This window comes from Homo sapiens, chromosome 3 (genome assembly GCF_000001405.40).
Source record: "Homo sapiens chromosome 3, GRCh38.p14 Primary Assembly".
NCBI classification, from domain to species: domain Eukaryota; kingdom Metazoa; phylum Chordata; class Mammalia; order Primates; family Hominidae; genus Homo; species Homo sapiens.
This window is the reverse complement of record NC_000003.12, coordinates 123,309,615-123,331,808: the sequence shown is the minus strand read 5'-3', so window position 1 is coordinate 123,331,808 and position 22,194 is coordinate 123,309,615. Positions and strand designations below refer to the sequence as shown.

The 22,194-nt window shown below is 52.3% G+C and overlaps 1 protein-coding gene across 18 annotated transcripts in view, besides 8 other annotated features; it reads left to right on the top strand.

Moving 5' to 3' along the window:
* Nucleotides 1–22,194, top strand: part of ADCY5 (adenylate cyclase 5) — a 166,795-nt gene that overhangs the window by 117,282 nt on the left and 27,319 nt on the right. For all 18 annotated transcript variants that reach the window (NM_183357.3, NM_001378259.1, XM_011512359.3 and 15 more), the window contains 8 exons: nucleotides 793–920; nucleotides 3,007–3,165; nucleotides 4,050–4,191; nucleotides 6,347–6,487; nucleotides 11,038–11,060; nucleotides 11,991–12,135; nucleotides 13,692–13,789; nucleotides 17,487–17,574. In NM_183357.3, the coding sequence (NP_899200.1) occupies nucleotides 793–920; nucleotides 3,007–3,165; nucleotides 4,050–4,191; nucleotides 6,347–6,487; nucleotides 11,038–11,060; nucleotides 11,991–12,135; nucleotides 13,692–13,789; nucleotides 17,487–17,574 (924 nt within the window). The remainder of the gene's footprint in view (nucleotides 1–792; nucleotides 921–3,006; nucleotides 3,166–4,049; nucleotides 4,192–6,346; nucleotides 6,488–11,037; nucleotides 11,061–11,990; nucleotides 12,136–13,691; nucleotides 13,790–17,486; nucleotides 17,575–22,194) is intronic.
* Nucleotides 451–1,238: an enhancer, noted in NCBI's record as "H3K27ac-H3K4me1 hESC enhancer chr3:123049418-123050205 (GRCh37/hg19 assembly coordinates)". NCBI's record gives its function as "activates a minimal SCP1, AML or CMV promoter by ChIP-STARR-seq in primed H9 embryonic stem cells {active_cell/tissue: H9 hESC(primed)}" and the evidence as "EXISTENCE:reporter gene assay evidence [ECO:0000049][PMID:30033119]".
* Nucleotides 2,460–2,959: an enhancer, noted in NCBI's record as "H3K4me1 hESC enhancer chr3:123047697-123048196 (GRCh37/hg19 assembly coordinates)". NCBI's record gives its function as "activates a minimal SCP1, AML or CMV promoter by ChIP-STARR-seq in primed H9 embryonic stem cells {active_cell/tissue: H9 hESC(primed)}" and the evidence as "EXISTENCE:reporter gene assay evidence [ECO:0000049][PMID:30033119]".
* Nucleotides 2,960–3,461: an enhancer, noted in NCBI's record as "H3K4me1 hESC enhancer chr3:123047195-123047696 (GRCh37/hg19 assembly coordinates)". NCBI's record gives its function as "activates a minimal SCP1, AML or CMV promoter by ChIP-STARR-seq in primed H9 embryonic stem cells {active_cell/tissue: H9 hESC(primed)}" and the evidence as "EXISTENCE:reporter gene assay evidence [ECO:0000049][PMID:30033119]".
* Nucleotides 10,763–11,669: an enhancer, noted in NCBI's record as "NANOG-H3K27ac-H3K4me1 hESC enhancer chr3:123038987-123039893 (GRCh37/hg19 assembly coordinates)". NCBI's record gives its function as "activates a minimal SCP1, AML or CMV promoter by ChIP-STARR-seq in naive H9 embryonic stem cells {active_cell/tissue: H9 hESC(naive)}" and the evidence as "EXISTENCE:reporter gene assay evidence [ECO:0000049][PMID:30033119]".
* Nucleotides 11,670–12,576: an enhancer, noted in NCBI's record as "NANOG-H3K27ac-H3K4me1 hESC enhancer chr3:123038080-123038986 (GRCh37/hg19 assembly coordinates)". NCBI's record gives its function as "activates a minimal SCP1, AML or CMV promoter by ChIP-STARR-seq in naive H9 embryonic stem cells {active_cell/tissue: H9 hESC(naive)}" and the evidence as "EXISTENCE:reporter gene assay evidence [ECO:0000049][PMID:30033119]".
* Nucleotides 15,394–16,285: an enhancer, noted in NCBI's record as "H3K27ac-H3K4me1 hESC enhancer chr3:123034371-123035262 (GRCh37/hg19 assembly coordinates)". NCBI's record gives its function as "activates a minimal SCP1, AML or CMV promoter by ChIP-STARR-seq in primed H9 embryonic stem cells {active_cell/tissue: H9 hESC(primed)}" and the evidence as "EXISTENCE:reporter gene assay evidence [ECO:0000049][PMID:30033119]".
* Nucleotides 16,286–17,179: an enhancer, noted in NCBI's record as "OCT4-NANOG-H3K27ac-H3K4me1 hESC enhancer chr3:123033477-123034370 (GRCh37/hg19 assembly coordinates)". NCBI's record gives its function as "activates a minimal SCP1, AML or CMV promoter by ChIP-STARR-seq in naive H9 embryonic stem cells {active_cell/tissue: H9 hESC(naive)}" and the evidence as "EXISTENCE:reporter gene assay evidence [ECO:0000049][PMID:30033119]".
* Nucleotides 21,314–21,815: an enhancer, noted in NCBI's record as "H3K4me1 hESC enhancer chr3:123028841-123029342 (GRCh37/hg19 assembly coordinates)". NCBI's record gives its function as "activates a minimal SCP1, AML or CMV promoter by ChIP-STARR-seq in primed H9 embryonic stem cells {active_cell/tissue: H9 hESC(primed)}" and the evidence as "EXISTENCE:reporter gene assay evidence [ECO:0000049][PMID:30033119]".

Below are 22,194 nucleotides of genomic sequence, written 5' to 3'. Positions count from 1 at the left end.
ACTGAACTGAATGAGGTGAATAGCACCTGCTTGTCACTTGGGTCTCAAATGAGTCCAGGCCACAAGGGCACTTGAATCCCTGTTTCTCAACTATCTTTGGGAGCCAGAGTTGGACCGCTCATAATTGATGATTACTGATATTCTATCGCAATCCCACTGACGGATTGGTGGTGGCCTGCAGGTGGCCCTGTGGCACCTGTCACTCAGCAGCAGCTCTGTTGGATTCTTGGCACTCATGTGCTTGCTAGTTGAGCAAAATTCTTTTTTGATAAAAGTCTCAGACAGGCTGAGTCAGTGAGCTTTTGGTTAAAGCTCATTTCTGCCTGCTTCAGTCTTTTTGTAAAAGGAGGAGAATCAGACAACTTTTGATAGAATCTCAAGCAACGAATCAGAGTGACTCCTGGGGTGTGGAGGGGACCAGAGACCCTTGTACTGGGGCTTGGGGCCTTCCTTAAGCTGATAAGGCCACCCTGCTGGCTGAGCTGCAGTTCGACCAGCCAAATTCCTCTTGGGGCTCTGGAGTGGATCTTTAAAAGTGAGCTCCTGAGTCTGGGAGCTGGAATGCCGCTCAGGGCTGCCCAGCCCATCCCTCCATCCCCACAATCCCTCCCTCCCCAATGTCTCCTGATAAGCCTGTCCCAGGACCATGCCGAGTTCCGGCGTGGGCCTGCGCTCACTGCCCTAAAAGGCAAGTTATTCCAGGCACGGGGTGAATCTTTTTGCTTCTCGTTTCTTTCCCTCCCACTTCTCTTTCCTACTATTTTTAATTTGTAAAATTAATTTGCTTTCCAGGAGAATCACTGTTTACGTATTAAGATCCTTGGGGATTGTTATTACTGCGTCTCGGGGCTGCCTGAAGCAAGGGCTGACCACGCCCACTGCTGTGTGGAGATGGGCATGGACATGATCGAGGCCATCTCGTAAGTGTCCACCCCCCGGGTACCGTCTCCCTCCCTGGGACTGTCCACAGCCCGAGCGACTGACTGACCTGCCGGCTGCCTAGTTGGAGGCAGGGAAACAGTGGGGTGAAACTGTCTGCCAAAAGGTGCCCAGCCAAGCTGAGGGTTGGCGTGTGCCACCAGACTTTCTGCCTTCTCCAGGGTTCCTGTTCCCTACAGCAGCCTGGGCAGCTTTTCCCAGAGGAAGTGTGTGGGAGGGGAGGGCTCTGCAGACTCCAGGAGTGGAGGAGAGGCTGGCAGCCATGTGAGGATCCTGTGCCGTGTGAGGCCCTTGCACTTCCGGGGCCTCATGTTTCCTACAGACACCCAGCCAGGCATCGAACTGCTGGTTCCACTTCTTCCCAGATGTGAAAGGTTGGGCTCATAGGGGTTAGACAACTCCCCAGGGTGCTACTACCAGGCAGGCGGATTCAAATGCAGGTGTTCCGCTTAGAGAGAATCACCCTGCCTGTGAGCCATAGCAAAAAGGCACTTTGGCCAATTCATGGCTATCACTGGCCACAGAAGGAGCCCTGGTCATTGAAAAACATGGGTGGTGCAAGCTTATGTGACAGCCAAGGGAGCAAGTCAGAGACTTTGGGCTTTAGAAATAGCTTGGGCAGGGGCAGAGAAAAAAGGCACAGAGGGCAAGGTCAGAGGCGGGAGTGGCTGCCAGGAAGGCAGCCGGGTCCGTTGGTTTGGCTCAGTTCTACTTGCAGCACTTGCCAAGTGTCCCCAGCAAGCCTGAGCTAGACAATCAGTCTCCCCGGAAGCACAGAGCCTTAAGGGAGAGAGACCAGGACTCCTGGTGCTCAGATACAAGGCACGTCATGTGGACACGGCGAGGTAAGGGAGGCAGACTATTGAAGGAGGGCCCAGGAGGGGACAGTTGATTCCACTGAGAGGATCAAGAGAGTTTGCCTGAAGGAGGTGGCCGTGGAGTTAAGCCAAAAAGACAGAATGAGCCATTGTCAAGCTAAGCAAGTATCCAAAGGCACTGTGGATGGAAAGTATTTCAGTGAAGGTATTCTGCTGCAGTGGAGGTATTTACCAAGTTGATTCAGGACAAGAGAAATGATGGGTGACCTCAGTCTCCCCTGCAGTGGGTGTCAGCCTCTTGCTGATGGCGTGGGATGGGGTCAGGGAGTCTCAGTGGTGGTCCCACCCACTGGGGCAAGTCAGACTGCTGGTCCCCTGGCTAGCTGAGTGCGCCCATGCCCCAGGTGTTAGGGAGGGTCTAGGGCCCTAGAAAGTGCAATCTGAGTTCATCCATTACCCTACTTCCTGGCACCTGCACCCTCTCCTGCAGATGCTGGGCAGGTTCCCATGGGCCTCAGACATGCACCTGGAGATGTATGGCTTCCTTCCCAGTCTGCCTCCACTGCTCGCCCAGCATGAGGAGTTATAAGTGCATACGGAGGGCCTGCCCTGTCTACTGGGAGCTCCCAGATATGGATATGTGGTGCATGTGGCCGGGACCAAGCTTTCCTCTAGGGCATGGAGCACCCTAAGCCCCTGCACCTGCCCAGGCTCCCCTTCCCTCCTGAGCAGGCCATACCCTTGAAACCTGGGTAACCAGCTTTTGCCATCACCCTGCTAACATCTTGGAAGCAGCAGTGTGGATAAATCCAATAAAAAGATAATCCAAAAGCCATTTCTGTCTTACCCACAAGAGCATTATACAAATAGGGTTTGGAGTGGTGGTAACTTCCCTGTTTAATTCAAGTCGGCCCTAACGTGCATTTGCATTTTTCCAATCACAATTTAATTGACAGGGCAGTGCTGGCCAGAGGTGCCCTCCTGGAGGGGAAGCAGCAGGGCTCTAGGTTTTAGTGTGGCACCGCGCCACCTTGTGGCCAGGCCGGGAACAGCCCCTTTCACAGCCGACTGCACCTGCCGCCCGCCCCAGTGCCCTTCAGGCTGAACGTTCTTGGACTCTAGGGCTGGATGGGAGAGAGAAGACTCTTTGACCCCCGCACCTTCACCTTCCCTGCACCTGCAGCCTCACCCCCATTCTGTGTGCCTGGCCTCCAGCCTTCTCCCAGCTTTACTCCTGCTCCATCCCCAGGTTGGTCCGGGAGGTGACAGGGGTGAACGTGAACATGCGTGTGGGAATTCACAGCGGGCGAGTACACTGCGGTGTCCTTGGTCTCAGGAAGTGGCAGTTCGACGTCTGGTCTAACGATGTCACGCTAGCCAACCACATGGAGGCTGGCGGCAAGGCAGGGTGAGTGACAGCTGTGGGTGGCTTGGGGCCCCGACCTGGGTTCCCACTCAAGCCCACCCAGGGTGACCATCCTGCAGAGGCGAGGCGGGGCAGGGTGGGGTGGGCAGGATGGGCAGCAAGCACCTGTGGGGGCGCTGGGGTGAGCACAGTGGAAGTAGAAATTCCTCTACTTGCCAAATCACCTGTGCCACCGTTGGCCAGTTGTGGGAGCATTATGTCACCCTTCCCTGAGCCTTGACCCAGAAGATATTGACCCAAACCATGGTGGCTGGTGAGGTGTGATAGACAGAGTTCTGGAGGAGGGAGGAATCACAGATAGTTTCTGGGATGGCTAGACCATAAAGGAGGCAGGACTGGGAGGGGTGAGGAAGGTGGGGTGGGAAGAGCCTGCTGCTAGGCGGAGGGAACACAGCGAGGCAAGGCACAGGTGTGGGGGACACAGCATTTCCAAGGAATGGGAGAAGAGCCGATGGCCTTTTAGGGACGGCTAGGAGAAACAGCGCCTGTGTTCAGAAGGCATGAGTGCCAGGCTCGTGAATTTGGACTCCGTCCTGTCGCGTGCAGGAGCCATTGCTGGCTTCTGAGCAGGAGTGAGAGGCTTGCAAAGTTTGCAAGACTGGAGGCCATGTTGTCTTGGGCAAGCTAATGTAGTGGTCTGTGCCAGGATGTTCAGTGTGAGACAGTGTGGTTGCAGTGGGCATGAGAGCCCACTTGATAGTAATGGAGGGTACCATGCAAGGTTGAGGTTAGGATTTGAGCAGAGCTTGGGGCCCTAGGGTTTGAATTGTGGTGAACCCACTAATTGCAGTTTGGTTTTTCACGGGGGCTGACATTATGACTTTGAGTTTTCTGCCCTCTCCACCCTGATCCCTGCCCCCCTGTAGACGCATCCACATCACCAAGGCTACACTCAACTACCTGAATGGGGACTACGAGGTGGAGCCAGGCTGTGGGGGCGAGCGCAACGCCTACCTCAAGGAGCACAGTATCGAGACCTTCCTCATCCTGCGCTGCACCCAGAAGCGGGTCTGTGGGCTGGGGGCCGGGGGGCTGAGGGGCTCCCTTCCTCCAGGGAGGAACATTTTCGTGACCTGCTGCTTCCTTCTCTTTCCTTGAGTGAAGTCATGAATTTCTTATGCAGTTGCGGTTCCTGCATCTTAAAAAGGACCCCGGCAGTTAGGCCTTGCAAAAAGGATGGTAAAGAGGGAATCTTTTAATAGTGCTTCTTTTGCAAAAATGCAACAGGCCTCAAATCAGTTAGCAACAAGACATCAGAAGTCCACAAGCTGGAAATCAGCATCAAGGGAGTCTGTGGATACCGTATATTTTATCTCCATCTCTCTCCTTTTCATTTGCCTTTTACTGGGGTGGACACTTGCCCTAATCTCTCTCTCTCTGATCCATAGATCGGTGTCCATCTCCACATGTGCCTATGTCTTTGTTTCTTGAACCTATTTTCCCCTTTCCCTTTCTAGTCTGTTTCTTTTTCCCCCTTTGTCTCAGCCCACACTTGCTGAAATATAAAGCTAAATTATTAGCAGACTTCAGTGTTCTATTTTTAATAGTGTCATGTTCCATGCTCTTAATTTTTAAAGCAAATCAAGAGAACATTTTCTATTTCTCCCTAAACTAAAATGCCTTTTACTTATGAGTCTTTCTGTGGAATTTATCTGCCAGTCAGTGCCCTTTGATAGAGAAAAGCTTCCCCATTTCTCTTCCTAAGAAGTGAAACGAAAGACAAAATTAGTCTGTGAGAAGAGTTCAGAGAGTCTTGGATGACAGCAAAGGTGATTTTTAAAGGGAGGCAGGCAGGGCTGTTGAGGGCAGGTGCCCGTGCCAAGAGGGACATCAGAGGGACACCTTATCCTACCATGCAGTACCCCAGGGGACAGATCCTGGCTCGGGGGCCCTTCATGGGAGCTGTGTCAGACCCTCCACAGGCACCAGGAAGAGGGATGGGGGATTCAGGGCCCTGTGGGGACAGCTCCTCATGGTTTCCTTGACACGTTTGTAAGCGTTGGCCAGTTCCTTGGCCATAGTATCAATGAACTGGGTCCTCCAGGCTCTTTACCCACATCTCTCAGTGCCTGGGTCACAAGGCCTCCCGCAGCTTCCTGCCCTAGACCCTGAGTTCCCTGGCTCTTGGTTCTTTTAGCTGGACAAGCGGTCCAAAAAGGATGAAATGGAGACAGAAAGAGTAACAGGCACCCCCACCAGCAATGTCAGCTGAAGCAGGCTGTGTCCCCACCGTCACCTCATCTGACAAGGGAGGGAGTTGAGGGGAGGGTTGCCTCAGGTCTCTAGCTCTCTTGCACCCATTTGGATGGATAGACAGACAGACAGATAGATGAGATCCTGGGGAGTGTGTTGGCCCATAGATAGCTGACTGAGACTCTGTGTATTTGTACAATGCCTGTCAGCTCTTGAATCTCATAACTTCACTGACCCAAACCTCTTTGGAAGTGGCCTCTTGGGCCCCGGGCCGTGTCCTAGTGCCCTCTCTGTTGTAGCATATTTTGGAGAAGTTGAGCAGAGGTTGTGATCCCAGGTCTCCTCTCCCTCCGGTACCCCCTGGGCAACTTCAGATCAGGCCCCACCCACCCTTGAGGCTGTAGCTAGAGCCCTACCCTGGCCTGCCCATGAGCAAAGCCTGATGTGACACCACAGCCTGCCAGGGACCAAGTTGGGAGGCTTAGGTATGAGTTGGCCTGGCTGCCTGGGAGACCCAAGCTCAGCCCTCGCTGATCACCCTGCCCCACAGAGTAGGGGGAGGAAGCACAGTGCGGGCAGCTGGGTGCGTCAGCTCAGGCCTTTCGGAGCCTAGGCCATCCAGAGGAGAGAAGGGCACCCAGGATAGAATCTTACAGTCGAACTTACAGGGAGAACTCCTTGCAAATGGCAGATGTTCCCAAGCTCTTTGCTTTCTCACAAGACCAACTCTCATCATCTTTTGCCACTCCCACCTGAGCCAGCCAGGGCTGGCATTAGGGAGTTTGGAGAGATCCAGGATGCTTGCCTGGGGAGTTCCAGGATCTGGGCCGAGCTCTGGCTCCAGGGCTGTGCAGAGAGGAAAGGGCAGCTGCCTTAGCCCCTTACCTGGCCAGGTACGATGTTTGGGGAAGGGTGAGGAGCCCTCCGCTTGGACTCCTCATCTCCCCCCATCTCTGTGTTCGTCTTCCAGAAAGAAGAGAAGGCCATGATCGCCAAGATGAACCGCCAGAGAACCAACTCCATCGGGCACAACCCACCACACTGGGGGGCTGAGCGCCCCTTCTACAACCACCTGGGTGGCAACCAGGTGTCCAAGGAGATGAAGCGGATGGTGAGTGGCTGGTGGGGCAGCCTGTGGGCAACACTCTCCAAGGCTAGGGCCTTCTGTGGGCATGAGGCCCGCACCAGATGCCTCGTGTTGCCCAAGGGAATCTGGGGAGCCACACAAGCAAATACAAGTGCGGTTTGCCCCAACTTTGGACTAGGAGTAGGGCACCTGCTTCTGGCCCCAAGCTCTCCCCACCACCCCGTGGCATGCCTCATTAGGCTTTGGAACAGACTGGCAGCACCCCTTCCTCCCTCCCTCTTGGCAGAGCTTGCGGCACAGCCTGGAAGCAGGCATGTCTGGCTAGACTCGGCCAGCCACAGCCTCCAGCTGTCTCTTGGCACTGTCTGGTGAGGCCCCAGGGAGTTGGGTGGGCACCAGCTTGTCATACCCTCTTCCAGCACCTCCTGCATTTCTCAGGCAAGTGAAACCACATCTTTTGGTTCAGTTGCTCAGAAACTATCCTAGTGCTTTCTGGGAAGTGCCAGGTGGTGGTCCCCTTTGCCCTCTGTGCTGAGAAAGACCCCCCACTAATGCCAGCCTTCCAGTGGGAGCATGTGGGCTGAGCAAGTCGGGGAGGCCATGGTCGGGTGTCAGCTCCACCTCCAGGGACCCTGCCTACACACACCGGGACAGGTGAATTCAGGATGTGCTGCCTGGGCTCTGGCAGCAATGACAGGAAGATGGATTCCTGGTGGGAAGAGGAGGAAGAAGCCACGTTACTGCAGTGGTGTTTCCTCTCCTACTGTCTGAGAGGTTGGCTTCTGCCCCTCAGGCATGCTGCTCAGCTCGGGGGCACCAGGTTCCCAGGTGGGAGTCACCCATACCAAGGAAGGGCCGAGGGATGGCACAGGGACTGTGTGTGTGTGTGTGTGTGTGTGTGTGTGTGTGTGTGTGTGTGTGTGTGTGTGTGTGTGTGTGTGGTTTCTGTGTGGCCACTTAGTGAAGGAGGGGCATGTTGCACAAGTAGCTCCAAGTTTGGGCTCTGTGGAGCAGACTGGGTTGAGGTTGTGGCAGAAGGGATCAGAGACGGACTCCCTGGAAATCCAGCAGGGTCAGCAGACAAGAGCCAGGAGCCTGGAGAAGGGGACATGCTGGGGACCCAGTCGCTCTGCTCCTTGTTAGCCAACATGTAGCAGATGATACGAGCTTAAGGAAAATGTACAGGAGGGAAAGTGAATTGAGCCAAGACCCCCATTTAACATTCTGACAGTAGAGACACCTCTTGGCCCTGGGTTACCAGACAGCAGAGTGGAGAAACCTGGCCTTCCCCAGGGCTCCAAACTTGAATGTCCACAGACCTGGTCAGTGCCACTAAGGGCTCCAGCCACCACCCTCCCTCCCCTGAGCAAAGAGCAGTTGGCCACCCTCCCCATTGCCACCCCAGCCCTTTGATAGTCTCCTGCAGACTCTGTACCCACATGATCAGGGCAGTCAAGAGTTCAGGACTAGCCTGGACAGCATAGTGAGACCCTGTCTCTATAAACAATAAAAAGGAAAACTAGCTAGGCATAGTGGCATGCTCCTTCAGTCCTAGCTACTCGGGAGGCTGAGGCAGGAGGATCACTTGAGCCCAGGAGGTTGAGGTTGCAGTGAGCCATGATCACGCCACTGCACTCCAGCCTGGGGGACAGAGCGAGACCGTATCTCAAAAATAAAAATAAAAATAAGGGAGAAAGGGGGAAAGGGGGAAGGACTGAGAGCAGGGACAGCAAAGGGGCAGGAGAGCCGAGAGAGAGGAGGCATTGAGCAGGAAGTGGAGGGGAAGCTGGGGAGTAGGGCAGGGAGATGGGGAGGAGGGGAAGGCAGAGAGGTGGCCAGGGAAGAGCAGGGAACAACCAGCAGGGAGGCAGGGCCTGGTGGTGAGAGATTCTTTCTGTTCAGAATCCTTGGAAAGTTATTTTTTAGTGATATTTGATATAAGCTATATCTTTAGTTATTTTGGAGTCTTAAAGGAGATAGTTTGGACTATAAGCACTGTGTTGGCAGATATATTACTCATCATTAGGACAAGGAATTTTGGAAGAATTTGCAGTCAGGACTGTCATGGGGAAGGGACAGTCTCTGGAGAAGGAGGCTGCCAGGAAGTCTCCTCCACAGCGTTCATCGCTTTGCCCAGCAGGGAGGGGAAGGAGTGTGGAAGAACAGGGCTGTGGGAACAGAGGCTCCTGTCCTGGCTGGGCCTGGTGTCCCCTGAGGGGGCTGCCATCAATGGACAGCCTCTGGGACCCACTCCAGCGTGGCCCGTGGGAATATCTAGGCTGGGGATGAAGACAGGTTCCTCAGTGCCGCGAGGGCCATTGGGCTTTCCATGCTAACGTGCCTGGAATGTTGGAGAGAGATCCATGGAAGGCGAGCTTTCACCCTGAGCTGCCCACGCTGGATGAGTTTTATGAGAAACAGTCCACTGAAGCAGGGATGGGGGGCTGGGAGCGCGAAGTAGTGAGTGAGAGCTGTTAGAAGGTTTGAAGTCGGAGTCAGCAGTGCCTTTTAAATCTTTTTCCAGCTTTTACCCAGCTTTTAAAAGTGATGAGCCGTGCTGGTTGATGCTTAGGCACTAGTGTCATAAGGTCTTTAAGGTTATTTATTAATAAAAAGGTTGCCAGTGGGAAGACACGTGTGGGCTTGAGCTCCTCTCACCAAACCCAGGAATAGCCGGTAGGGTGGGGCCCAGGTGCTGCAGGAGGGAGTGTAGGCAGACTGGGAGAGGCCAAGTAGCCGCTGTCCTAGAACTGTTAGAGTAAGTAGGTGGCGGGATTTGAGCCCAGTCGGCTCTGTTGTGTTTTAATGGCCCCCCTGCCATGGTTTGTGTACCAGTATATTTTCTGTACTGTTACCAACTCGCCATGCCGACCTGGCGCTGAGCTCTCCACACCAACATGGCAAGCAGTGTGGTTAGGATGGTCCCAGCCCCCTACTCAGCACAGGAAGAAAAAATGGGTCCCATGCACCAGCCTCAGCAGGTGACCAAAGGAGCATCGGGAAAGGTCAGAACAGGCTTATTCACAACATTTCGGCCTATTTTTGAACCATAGAGACCAGCATATATGTAATATAGCTCAGTTCTTCTCGGTTCCGTAGTAAAATTTTTGCCGGCTCCTGGGATGGAATTGAGTGGGCCAACCCCTCGCAGGGGGTCTTCCACAGGGAGCTCGCCTGTCCAGCTCTCTGCTGCCCGCCACGCCTGTGCTCCAAGGGATCCTGGGAGCATCAGGCACGGGCCTGCCCCCCAGAGGGAGAGCTCACTTGAGTGACATCTATGCCTCCAGCCCAGGGCTGGGATGGTGACGTGGGACCACTTTACAGCCTGGAGGGAGGGCCTGGCCATTCTCAGAGGACAAGGAGAAGGGTGCAGTTTGCCTAGGCAGACAACTGCCAGGCCATCCTGGGCCGGTGCTGGCAGCCCGGGAGGAGCTCAGAGCCTATAGTTGGTCACTTGGAGGTGACTCCAGAGGCTGCTGAGGCTCCCTGGAGCCCTCAGCTGGGGGTAGAGCCTCTGTACCACCAGGGCCCCATGTCTATTTTAGTGCCTGGTGGCCCTGGCTCATGGAGAGGAACATAAATCCCTCTTTTTGTATTTTCAAACCGTGTCCTCATTGGGAATGAAGAGTGGTGTGTTCATTTGGATTTTGGGTTCACCCAGTGTTTGCCGAACTCTGTTTGCCCAGCAGAGTGCTCCACACTGCCAGGGAAGGGGCATCCTCTGTCCTAGTCCTGGCATCCTGAGGCTAATCTAAACAGCAAGTCCTGGGGCTACTTGTCACCTTCCGCACCACCTCTGAGATTCCACCCCTCCCCACAGTGGGGAAGCCTCCATTCTGCCACCACTGCTGAGACCCCGACACACATCTCTCCCTTTGCGGAATTCATAGATTCAAGAGGGCTTTGAGTTTGACAGCCGGTAAGGGCCCTTCCCACCCTCAACTCTGATAGAACAGCAGTCAGATCTGTGGCAGGTGGGTTCCTTACCCTCTGAGTCCCCAAACAACCGTGGCCTTACAAGAAAGCATTGATTTTCAGTTACTGAAACAGCTGTTGCAGGTAACTAGAGTGTAGTTTTTTTAAGTGCAAAATGTGCGAACTCCTGGGGATTTTATGTGTGCTCGGTGTGATGTACACAAGGAGGTGAGTGTGCATGAGTGTGTCCGTGTGACAGAGATTGTGCAGCCCAGCAATTCCCGATTTCCATCTGAGTAAGAGGCAGGATTGAGAGGGGACCCTCTGAGCCCAGGGTGCAGGAGGATGGCGAGGAGAGATTTAGGAAAGGAGTTGAGCATGGGGGCAGGAAGAGCTTAGACACATGGATTGTGCCGGTGGATGAAGTGAAATCTCAGGGCATCCCCGGCGTCTAGCACAGCACCTGTCTCTTAGGGAGAACCCAGCTGTATTCTCCAAGTGAAGGAAGGAAGGAAAGGAGCTGCTGAATGACAATCCTCTCTATGTCCACGTCCTTTGGGAGACTGTAGAGATGAGCTGCAGCCATCTAGACGCCTCTGAGCTTTCAGTTCTCTCTGTTCTCATTCTCTTCTCTTTCTCTTTCTATCCTTCTCTTCTAGGGCTTTGAAGACCCCAAGGACAAGTGAGTAATATGCCCTTCCTTATTCCTGCTCCCTGGGTCTGGGGGATATCTCCCAATCCACCTTATCACTTGGTTTCTCCACACTCCATGGAAAATGACTCCTCTTGCAGTCTTAGCTGAGAGTGAATGGAGCCCACCCTAGCCGTCAGGTGGTCAGCAGCAGCCCCAGACAGGCCAGGGCAGCCCAGAAGCCCAGGCCACCCAGCAGAAGGACAGAGCCTCAGCACTGCCCATTTTATCTCCGTGACACGCTTGTGCACGTGTGCACACATGGCTCCCTCAGGAAAGTGCAGACCTTACACACTGGTCAGCAGTGCCTGGCATCCAGTGCCCCGAGGCAATGCCCTCTTCTCCCTCCTTCACTTCTGGTTCTCAGGACTGTCAGAAATTCCACTCCAGGACTGGGCTCCACCCTGAGAAACAGGGTGTTGAAGGTCAGCACTCCAAGTCTATGAAACCTGCTTCTCAAGAGTGCCCTGAGCTGGGTGAAAGAAACCAGGTGGGCCACAGTCCCTGTGGCAGAAACTGGCAGAAACTCTCACTGCCTGATCTAGGGCTTCTTTTCAGAAGGATAGAGCTAGAGGGTAAAGAGCAGAGCCTGTTAGCTGTAGGGAAAGTCCAACTAAACTGTCAATGGTAGCTCACATTGTTATGCTAATATAATATGTTAACAGAGTCAGAAAAGCCTGTCAGCAAGGCCCTTCAGCCCGAAGGGGACTGAGACTTGGTCAGTTGTCTGTTCATCTGTGCAGTTGTTAAGAGCACGGCTTAGGCTTCTGGTCTCAGTCTCAGCTCCCGCTGCCCTGATTGGGCTGATGGTGGACAGCTGCCAGGCCTCTCCGAGAGTCTGGGGGGATGGTCGGAAGAGCCAGCCCTCTGCTGGTGCCCCTGTGGTCAGCCTGTCTCACGCCCGTGCCTTCTGCTCCCCAGGAACGCCCAGGAGAGTGCGAACCCTGAGGATGAAGTGGATGAGTTTCTGGGCCGTGCCATTGACGCCAGGAGCATTGATAGGCTTCGGTCTGAGCACGTCCGCAAGTTCCTCCTGACCTTCAGGGAGCCTGACTTAGAGAAGAAGGTACAGCACCCTGGGTGGGAAGGAGGCCCCTGTGCTGAACCAGGACCAGGAGGAGGAGGGCAAGAAAACAGGAGGGCTCCCTCATGCCCCCAGCACCACGGAAGGGGTGGCCTCAGTTTCCCCAGCTCTGATGCTGCACTACCTAGAGAGATGCGAGTTCTAGGGAGGCTTCCCTGGTTGGAAGGGATACACCTTGACTTCTCTGTGCCTTCGTTTCATTATCTGGAAAATGGGGACAGTTAACATTCCCACTTCGTAGGGTCATAGTGAGGATGAAATGAGTTTCTTTTTTTTTTTCTTTTTTCATTTTTTTTTTTTTTGAGACGGAGTTTCACTCTGTTGGCCAGGCTGGAGTCCAGTGGCTTGATCTTGGCTCACTGCAACCTCCTCCCCCGAGGTTCAAGTGATTCTCCTGCCTCAGCCTCCTGTGTAGCTGGGATTATAGGCGCCCGCCACCACTCCCAGCTAATTTTTGTATTTTTAGTAGAGATGGGGTTTCACCATGTTGGACAGGCTGATCTTGAACTCCTGACCTCAGGTGATCCACCCGCCTCGGTCTCCCAAAATGCTAGGATTACAGGTGTGAGCCACCATGCCCAGCAGTTTCTATGTATGAAACAGTATCTGTCGCATAGTAGGCGTTCGGTGCATATTAGTTGCTATTTGCATTATTGTTATTATCATTGTCAATGGACAGCCCAACTGCTTTGTCACATTGGGACCTCAAGGTGTTAAAGTTGGCAGGGACAGTCAAGATCTCTCTGTTGCATTTCTTCACATTGTGAATGAGAAAGCTAAAGCCCAGAGTGGTTGGGGGACCTGCTTTCGGCCCCCCAGTGAAGTAGTGACAGAGCTGGAGTCAGACCCTGGTCCAGTCAGTTCTCTTTGGACTTTGTGGCAGCATCTCCCCAGGGTTCAGTTAAAATGGACTTGTGGTATGCTCATCAGCATTAAACCAGGCAAGCAAACTGAATTAGCAAGGTGAAGCTGTGGAAAGGGACCAGCAGTATATGGACCTGACTTGGGTGTTACTCTGGGTGACTGTGCCAGCCCAACCTCCATCAGTGTGGCTGCTTGGTATCATGGGCGGAGCTGGGGCTGGGAGCCTCAGATGTGACTTTGGACAAGTCATGTGAGCTCTCTGAGGCCCAGCTTGCTCATCTCTGAAGAAGAAATGACAGCAGTTTTATTCCGACTTCTTGGGCTGTTGTGGGGGTGCTGGATGATGCCTGTAGACACCTGGCATGTTTCCTAGCGTGTAGATGGCATGCAGTCATGTACAGCCATGATCATTATGGATTACTCTGAAGGTGACCCACCTGCAGAAGGTTTCAGGTCTGTCTCAACTGCCCTCTCCATAGGCACTACCTTCTGGTGATCTGGACTGGTTTCCTGGGGTCTAAGTTTGACTCTGGTTCTCGAGTCTTCCCTGTTGTGGGAGTGGGCTGCACAGGTGACCAGCCATGAGTGGCTTCCCTGGGTGTGTGGGATTGACAGGGCTGGAGCAGACCGGGCCAGGTACCTTGGCCCCTCTCACCCTGCCCGTCTCCTCTCAGTACTCCAAGCAGGTAGACGACCGATTTGGTGCCTATGTGGCGTGTGCCTCGCTCGTCTTCCTCTTCATCTGCTTTGTCCAGATCACCATCGTGCCCCAGTGAGTATCCCCGTCCCTCTTGGGCTCCTTCCTCTGGCTGCAGGGAATCCCAGGAGTGGGAGGGGGTGGTCATTTAGGAGAACAGAGCAGGGAGTCTGGCCTGCACTTGCTCAGGCACGGAGAGAAGTTTCTGAGTGTGCCCTTGGTGGGGTAGGAAGCCAGGGGTCTGACCTCTCTGGGCGGGAAGGTGATGTGCTCATTCCAGGGTGGGCAACTCTCACTAGGCGCTGCACAGCTGCATGAAAGATGCTTCTTTTTTTTTTTTTTTTGGGTCGGCGTGGTGGGGACACAGCGTCTCGCTCTGTTGCCCAGGCTGGAGTGCAGAGGCATGATCTTGGCTCACTGCAACTTCTGCCTCCCAAGTTCAAGCAATTCTCCTGCCTCAGCCTCCTGAGTAGCTGGGAATACAGGTGCCTACCACCACGCCTGGCTAGTTTTTTGTATTTTAGTAGAGACGGGGTTTCACCATGTTGCCCAGGCTGGTCTCAAACTCCCAAGCTCAGGCAATCCACCCGCCTTGGCCTCCCAAAGTGCTAGGATTACAGGCGTGAGCCACCACGCCTGGTCAAGAGACGCCTTTTTATCACTTAATTGTCTCGTCCCATTAACCCACCCCATCACTGACAATTGAGTCACCCAAAGTATTCCCTGGGCTGCTTTCTGTTAGTTCTTGAAAAAAAAAAAAAAATCTTCAAAAGATGCAGGTTTTCTACTACTGTGGATATTTCTAAGAATGGATTTCAAGTTCTGGAGGTATTTCACAAAGAGGTGTTTCTGAACTCTTCTGAGGACTGGCTGTGTCTCCGACAAAGCCTATGGCTTCTATGGGGAGTACTTTGAAGTATGCAGTGGGCTTTTGGAAATGAGGTTGAGGTGTTTGTTAAATTGTCATTCACATTAGAGTCTCGCTTGGGAGAGAAACATAAGTGCCTTATGTATGTACACCCATGCACACACACCTATACATATACACACACACACACACATACATATACGTATATGTATAAATACATATTTTTACTTTTTATTATGTAATTCCTCAAATGCACAGAAAAGTAAGTAATCTAATCAGTACCCATCCCCTAGATAGAACAACTGTTAATATTTTGCAGTGTTTTTTTCATCTATTTTTATTCTGATTTTTTAAAAGTAAATTTAGACAAAGACATTTACCCCTAAAAACCTCAATATATACTTAAGGACATTTTCCTCCTTAACCCCAATACTTTATATACCAAAAAAATTAACATCAAATCCCTACTATCATCTACTACCCAGTCCATATTGAAACTTCCCAAACTGTCCCCCAAAATGTCTTCTACTTTTAGTTTATTTGTAGCCAGGGTCTACTCAAAATCCACTGATTGCATTTGGTTAAATCTTCTAAGCCATGCTTCATCTAAAGAGTCCCCGAAGCCAGTACCTTCTGTTTTTCATGTTGAAATAATGGTATTTGAGCAGTTACAAAAGTAGCCGAGAGGGATTCTGTGCATCCTGCATCCAGTTTCCCCGAATGTTGACAACTTCCGTAACTGTATATAATGATCAAAACCGGGAAATTAACACTAAAATGATACTATTAACTCATCTACTGACCTTATTCTAATTCGTCATTTTCCCCTCACTATCCAGTTTGTGTTCCCGGAGCCAGTTCAGGATCCCATGTCGCATGTAGTTGATTCATGTCCTCAGTCCCCTCCCATCTGTGATAGTTCCTCAGCCTTTGCTTGTCTTTCATGACCTTGGCACTTTTGAGGAGTACTGGCCAATTAATTTGTAGTTTCAATTTGGGTGTGTCTGATGTTTTTTCATGATTAGGTTGGGGGGGGTCTACATTTTGATAAGGCTCCCACTGAAGTGATGATGTGTCCTTCTCCATGTACCATAGCAGGAGGTACATGGTGTCAAAATGTATTTTATTTTTAATGGCATTATTAAAAGAATGAAAATATCCCCCTTACATTTGTATCTGTCATGACTCTGTTGGATGCCACAGGTGAAAATCAGGCACTGGCAGCCAGCTCCACCCTGGTTGACCCCTGCACTGAGGCTGTGCAGAGCTGGGGTCCTTGTTGGCATAAAACCCCATCTTTCTGTACTGATGTGGACGCACAAGTATCAAGAAGCAACCTGGAGGCCAGGTGCAGTGGCTCACGTCTGTAATCCCAGCGCTTTGGGAGGCCAAGGGAGGTGGATCACTTGAGGCCAGGAGTTCAAGACCAGCCTGGCCAACACAGCAGAAATGCAAAAAATCAGCCGGGCGTGGTGACGCAAAAATCAGCTAGGTATGGTGGTGCACACCTGTAATGCCAGCTACTCGGGAAGCTGAGGCGGGAGAATCACTTGAAGCTGGGAGGCAGAGATTGCAGTGAGCCGAGATCACACCACTGCCCTCCAGCCTGGGCAACAAAGCGAGACTCTGTCTCAAAAAAAAAAGAGCAATCTGGTTTTTCATCCCATTGCAACTGACAGTCCCTGTAGCTTGAGTGCATAGTCCTGCCTCTTTGCTGCTTTTCCTTCTCTGCAGCGGCTTGGGGGCTGGGTCATCTCAGTTACCTGCCCTGCCTGCAACTGCTTCATTCCCTCCTCTGGCCACAGCTCCAAGTGGCTTAGACATTGGCAGAGGTCATTCTCTAGCCACCTCCTCTCTAGGAAAGCCTTAAAAGCCACTCTGAAGATCTTTCTTTTCCCCTGAAGAGAATTCGTTTCCCTTGTTCCGTTTGTTGAAGGCAGCTAAGTGCCGGGCTTTTGTGGAGGCCTGGAACAAAGACGCTGTTTGAATCCTCCCTAGAGGTGTTCACCTGCCTCTCACGCCCCCCACGGGCTTTTAACCCCATAACAACACCTGGCCTCGTCAGGCCACTCTTCCTCCCTTGAAAGGCCACCTGGTGGTATGGTGGGGTGTGTTGTCCCTGGGCCAGCCCTTGCCCCAGGAGGGCCAATGGGAAGTTCCAGATGGAAAGTCACTTACAGCTCTTTTGTCTGAGGGTGGCCACCCGTGGTGGCTGTGAAGGTCACCTGTGATCTGCACCTGAAGGAGGGGCAGAGGGAAATCCTTGCATTTTGCTTGTTGAACTGGCTAGGAATCGAGGAGCAAAAACTGCGGGACTTGTTGTGGGACCTGGCGGTGGAAAGGGGGTGGCGCTTAGAGATTCTGCCCTTCTAAAGAGACAGCCACCCTTGTTTCTCAAAGAGTGGCTGGCTGTGCTGCTGACATAGGCATTTCTAGAAATGAAGGCTACTGATCCAATCAGTTTTCAGCCTTCACAGTTATTTATGGAGCTGTGAGTGACGACTTGGAGGGAGTAACCAGGTGGTTCTTCCAAGCTAAATGAAGCACATCAGTGAATAGCTGAGAATTAGGCAAAATACCTATCAGGTGTCACCTGGTTCTCCATTCAGCTTCCTGTGGGCTGCTGTCTCCACCGGAAGGGGAGGGAACCATACCCTTACGGTTCCAGAATCCACCTGCAAGGCCGTGTAAGCCCTACTCAGGGAGTCAGTGCAAAAGGCTGGGCAGTGGATTAGGGGAGGTGGAGCAACTTCAGGTTCCCTCTCTGGATTTCAGAGCCCAGGCCCTCTGAAGCTGTGAGGATGGGCACGGGGGACCTGTGGCCTGCTTGCCAGGCAGGTCCCCCAGAAGCTGCAGCCCTGCCACCTGAGCCTGGCTTCTCCCTCCCCTCCTCTCTCCTTCCAGCTCCATATTCATGCTCAGCTTCTACCTGACCTGTTCCCTGCTGCTGACCTTGGTGGTGTTTGTGTCTGTGATCTACTCCTGCGTAAAGGTGAGTGTAGCTGACAGCTGGGTTGCAGCCACCTTCTTCCCGCTTCTCTCAGCCCTAGGGGCCCTACCCAGGGGCCCAAAATGTGAAGGGGCCCGAGTATTGTGCTTGGCAGGGGTGGGAGAGTGCCTGATGCCAGCCACACCTCTCCAATGGCATTGGCAGCAAGCTCGCCTGGAGTCTGGCAAATGGTCAGTGGGAGCCTGTTCTTCACTGGCTGTTTTAACTTGCCCTTGGCAAATCTCTGCAACCAGAAGATGCTGTGGGTGCTGTGCCTATTCATGTTATGCACAAGGAAGGAAGGGCACCGAGCACCAAGTCTGTCACAGAGCAGTGCCCAGTGAATATTTGCTGAGAGAATGGGTGTGGAGGAGGTCTCTCTCGACACCCGCTTTGGTGCTCCCATGTGCTCTGGGATTTTCCCTGGAGGGGACCTCAGAGATTATAGGTCTTGAGCCACCCAGCACATAGATGAGGAGTGTGTTTTGGTGTTTTCAAGCAGGTCATGCAGCCAGCTGGTGTTGGCAGCAGAAATGTGGCTCTTGTTCTGAGTTTTTCTCCCATATCTCTTAGGTGTGCTGTGTCCCCTGTCCAGCCGTGTCCCTCAATGCGACCTGGCTCTGGGTCACTCTGGTCTGTGGTAGAAACCACTTATGTTCCTGTTTGCCCTGCCCATCAGGCCTTTCCCTCAGTTTCTTCACTAGTGGTTTCAGAAATCCCTGACGCACCAGCCTGGCCTCCGGGAAGCACTCATCCCTGGGACAGATCTGTGCCTCTCCCACATCTGCTGAGCCTCTCCGACTCCTCCCTGACGCTCACTAGGAGCCAAGCCTCTGGGGTGGGCGGTGGGGCCCCCTGGAAGCTGCACCCTCTTCTGCAGTGAGCACCATGTCTTCCTTCTGGAGGAATTGGACCTTCATCCCCTCCAAAGTCCCCTTTCTCTCTCCACCCTCCAGAGAGGGCCCTTATTAGTCTGTTAACCGTATAGTCACGTCATGGTCAAGGTCTTGGTGGACTGATTGTCAGAACTGGAAGGGACCTTAGGAATCACCTGGTGTGGTTCACCTCCCCTGGCAGGTGCAGAGGTGGACAGCCAGAGAGGGCAGGGTCAGCCAGAGCCATTGGGCACGTGTGAGAAGCACGCCACGCTGAGCCGCGTGCTCCATCCGTTGCTAGTATTGTAGCATCTGATAGGCTGCATCGTAGGGCTTAACGTTAGCTGGTTCCCTGCCTGTCCACTGACCCTCCTTCCTCAAGGCCACAGCCTCCCTCCTGCCCCATGTTCAGCCACTCCTGCCTTTTGGTCTTTCTGTTGTCAAGGCCCCCCCCAGCCTGCTTTATCCAGAGTGGACAGTTCCACTTCTTCATCCCGTGGCTATGAAAGGATGCTGTATTTTCTCAGTAGCCACAAAGCAGAAACAACCCAAGCATCCATCAACAGATGAATAGATAAACAAAACGTGCTGTAAATTGCAGTGGAATGTTATTCCATCATAAAGAGGAATGCAGTGCTGTTTCATGCTACGACATAGAAGGACCTTGAAAACATGACGCTGAGTGAAAGAAGCCAGACACAAAAGGTCACACGTATGGTCTGATTCCATTTATATGAAATGCCTAGAACAGGCAAATTTATGGACACAGAAAGCAGACCAGAGATTCCCAGTGGCTGGCAGGAGGGAGAACAGGTGTAATTGCTTAATGGGTTCAGAGTTTCTGTTTGGGGTGATGAAAGGGTTTTGGAAATTGATAGCAATATTGGTTGCACAACATGAGTGTGATTAATGCCACTGAATGGTACGCTTAAAAATGGTTAAAATGGCAGATTTTATGTTGTATAAATATTGCCACAATGAAAAGTCACAACCACCTACAAAAAAAGTAAACCATAGTTAAAAGTTCTTTTGCTGAACCCCAAAGAGAACATTTCTTTTTTAAGTAAGGAACTGAGGCAAAGTCATTATTTATTTGTTTCTTTCAGGTACTTAATTAGCCCATTCAAATCAGAATCAAAGCTGCGCATAGTCTGCCATTTTTTAAGCCTGAACCTAAATTTCCTTTCTTTTCTGTTAGGGGCTTAGGTGAACCTGAGCTATACTGATTTCATTCCATTTGAGTTTCCTGATTTGCAGTCAGTTGTGGAGGAGGGGAAGGATGGGCCCATTTTCCTGCCTGCAGCCACCTTCACTGGCCATTTTTGGTCTAATGAGTTTTTTTCCCACAGTTCAAGATGAGTTATGAAAATCATCCCTGCCTTCTTTTGTATTGTTGAATTTGCCTATTTTGTTATCAGTGCCAAATTCACTGAGCAAGTTCTCAGTTCTTTTATCTAGTCCAGTGATTTTTGCTGCCTCTGTGCTGCAGAGGCCTGTTTCCTTGGGTGGGGGAGGGGCCGGTGGATGGAATACCCGCCCTCTACCCCCAGGCCACACAAACACTGTCCCCCCAGTCCCACACCATCCAGCCAGGGAGCCTGCTTTTTCCATCTTACAGATAGAAAGCTTCAGTAAAGAATTTTAGTGGCTTATGAAACCTGGAACCTGCCGCTCTGGGCTGGTGGTCCATCCATTGAATAGACTCCAGCACCCACCCTTGGCTCCCATCCCTGCCGCCGCCTCCTCTCCTGGCCTGATTAGCCTCTTCTCAGGGTTTGTCCGCTTTCTGGAACACAGAGCCCAATTTGAGAAGTCATTTGTAATATGAACTTCTTTCCACTGAATTCTTCTTCTTCCCTCTTTTATGTTGTGGGTTAAACAGCTTGCACGTGAAGACATGAAAGGAGCGTCTCCCTGGCTCTACCTCCTGCCATGTGCATGGCGGGGAACAGTACCCCTTCTTCCCCGCTGTGAATGTCTGCCTGTCTCTGAGCACCGTGGCACACTCACTGCAGTGGGTTGACCGTATGAAATTCATTTTCTCACCTTTGCAGGTGCTGTCACAAAGCTGACTAGCCTGCAGTGTTTAGGGTCCTTCTGTTTTCTTTTTGAAAAACATTTGCGGTTTTACCAGAACGCAGAAACTTTTTCTCATTTTCCCAGTCTCTCAGAAGTCACGGAGAGTGGCTTTGCAATGAGATGCGACAGTTCCTAAATTACCCCCAAGCCAGTTAGTGTCAGTCTCTTTCTCTATTTCATTTACTTTTCCATTTTCCCAGAACAACATGGACTGACTTCCTTGAACTGTCCATATTTTAACCTTTTCGAAGAGAGAAATATGAGAGTGTTGACAGAGTGAGTCGTCTTCTCTGGCTGTCAGGGAGCAGTTTTCCCTGGTTCTTTCCGGGTTTTCCCTTCTTACTAAGTGCTCTGGTGGCCTTTTTATCTCGGGCCTGTTCAGTCTTTTCCAGACACAGCTCAGTGCAGTTCACACACTCCCCTGGATTTCTCAGCGGGGCTAACTTGGTGCCTTGGTCTTCATCGTGTCCTCAAGTCCTGGTTTCACTCCTGAGCCTCAGCTGCCTTGCAGAGCCCCCACTGCCCCTCAGATGCCTTGCCTTAGGGACCCTTGAGTGCTTTCTTCTGGAGATGCTGTCTTAGAGGGCAAGTCTGCACATCTGCACGAACCCAACCTCCTTCCCTTGACTTCTATGCTGACCTAGGCCCCAGAACTGCTTTTCGTAGAGAAAACCATGTTAAAGCCCTGCTCACCATCACACGTTGTCCGCAGCTCAGAGAATCTCAGGTTGGAAGGGGCCCATGCAGTGAGAGAGCCCAGCCACCTACCTGAGGCTGGAATTCCGAGTGATAACCCTGCAAGGGGTGGGCCGGCCTCTGCTTTGCTTGATCACCTCCAGGGATAGGGAGCTCACTCACAGCTCCTGAGTGCAGCCCCTTCCCTCTTTGGCCAGCTCCACATGTTCCACTGGACTCCCTGGAGCTCCTGCCTCATCATCCGGTGAAGCAGCCCTGGTCTATACCTGACAGTGCTGGTACTTTTGCCGCCACCGCCCAAATGGTGACTCCCCTTTCCCCACCGCCTGATCTAGGTGCCTCAGCCCTTACTGTGGCTCATTAGAAGGCCAAACTCCTTCCCAGCAGTTTGGGACTTAGGTACAGATAGGCCCTGTGGGGGAACTCAGCTGCGTAGCTGTGTGTGTGTGTGTGTGTGTGTGTGTGTGTGTGTGTGTGTGTGTGTAAATCTCTCTCTCTTATCCCCCAGCCTGATGGCTTGCTTTTCTTTTGGTCTACATGGTACTCATCCCCTGGACCTGATTGTATGAACACCTGGGATCTGTGACCAGAGCCTCCTGTGGGCCCTGTCTGCTCTGCAGTCACTGACAGAGCCTCTCCTCCTCTCCCTGCAGCCTGCGTGTAGCTAAACCCACCTTGCTGGTTCTCCTTTCTACCACTCCAACTCAACTGCTGGTCCACAGTTTCTAAAATAGGGTCTAACTGTGCAACCAGTACCCCTCCCCTCCTAGGTGTCTTCCATCCTGTGAAGATTTTAGGATTCCCATGTTTACCTTTCCCCCTGCATGCTCAGGGGACACATTCCTGTCACCATTCACATCTCATCATACACGTCATTCATTTAGGAGATGGAGAGGTCTTCGTTCCAGGAGGCATATTGTAGGTTCTCCCTGTGTTTTTCAAGTCAGGACAGTCCAGGATGCACATCCAAGCT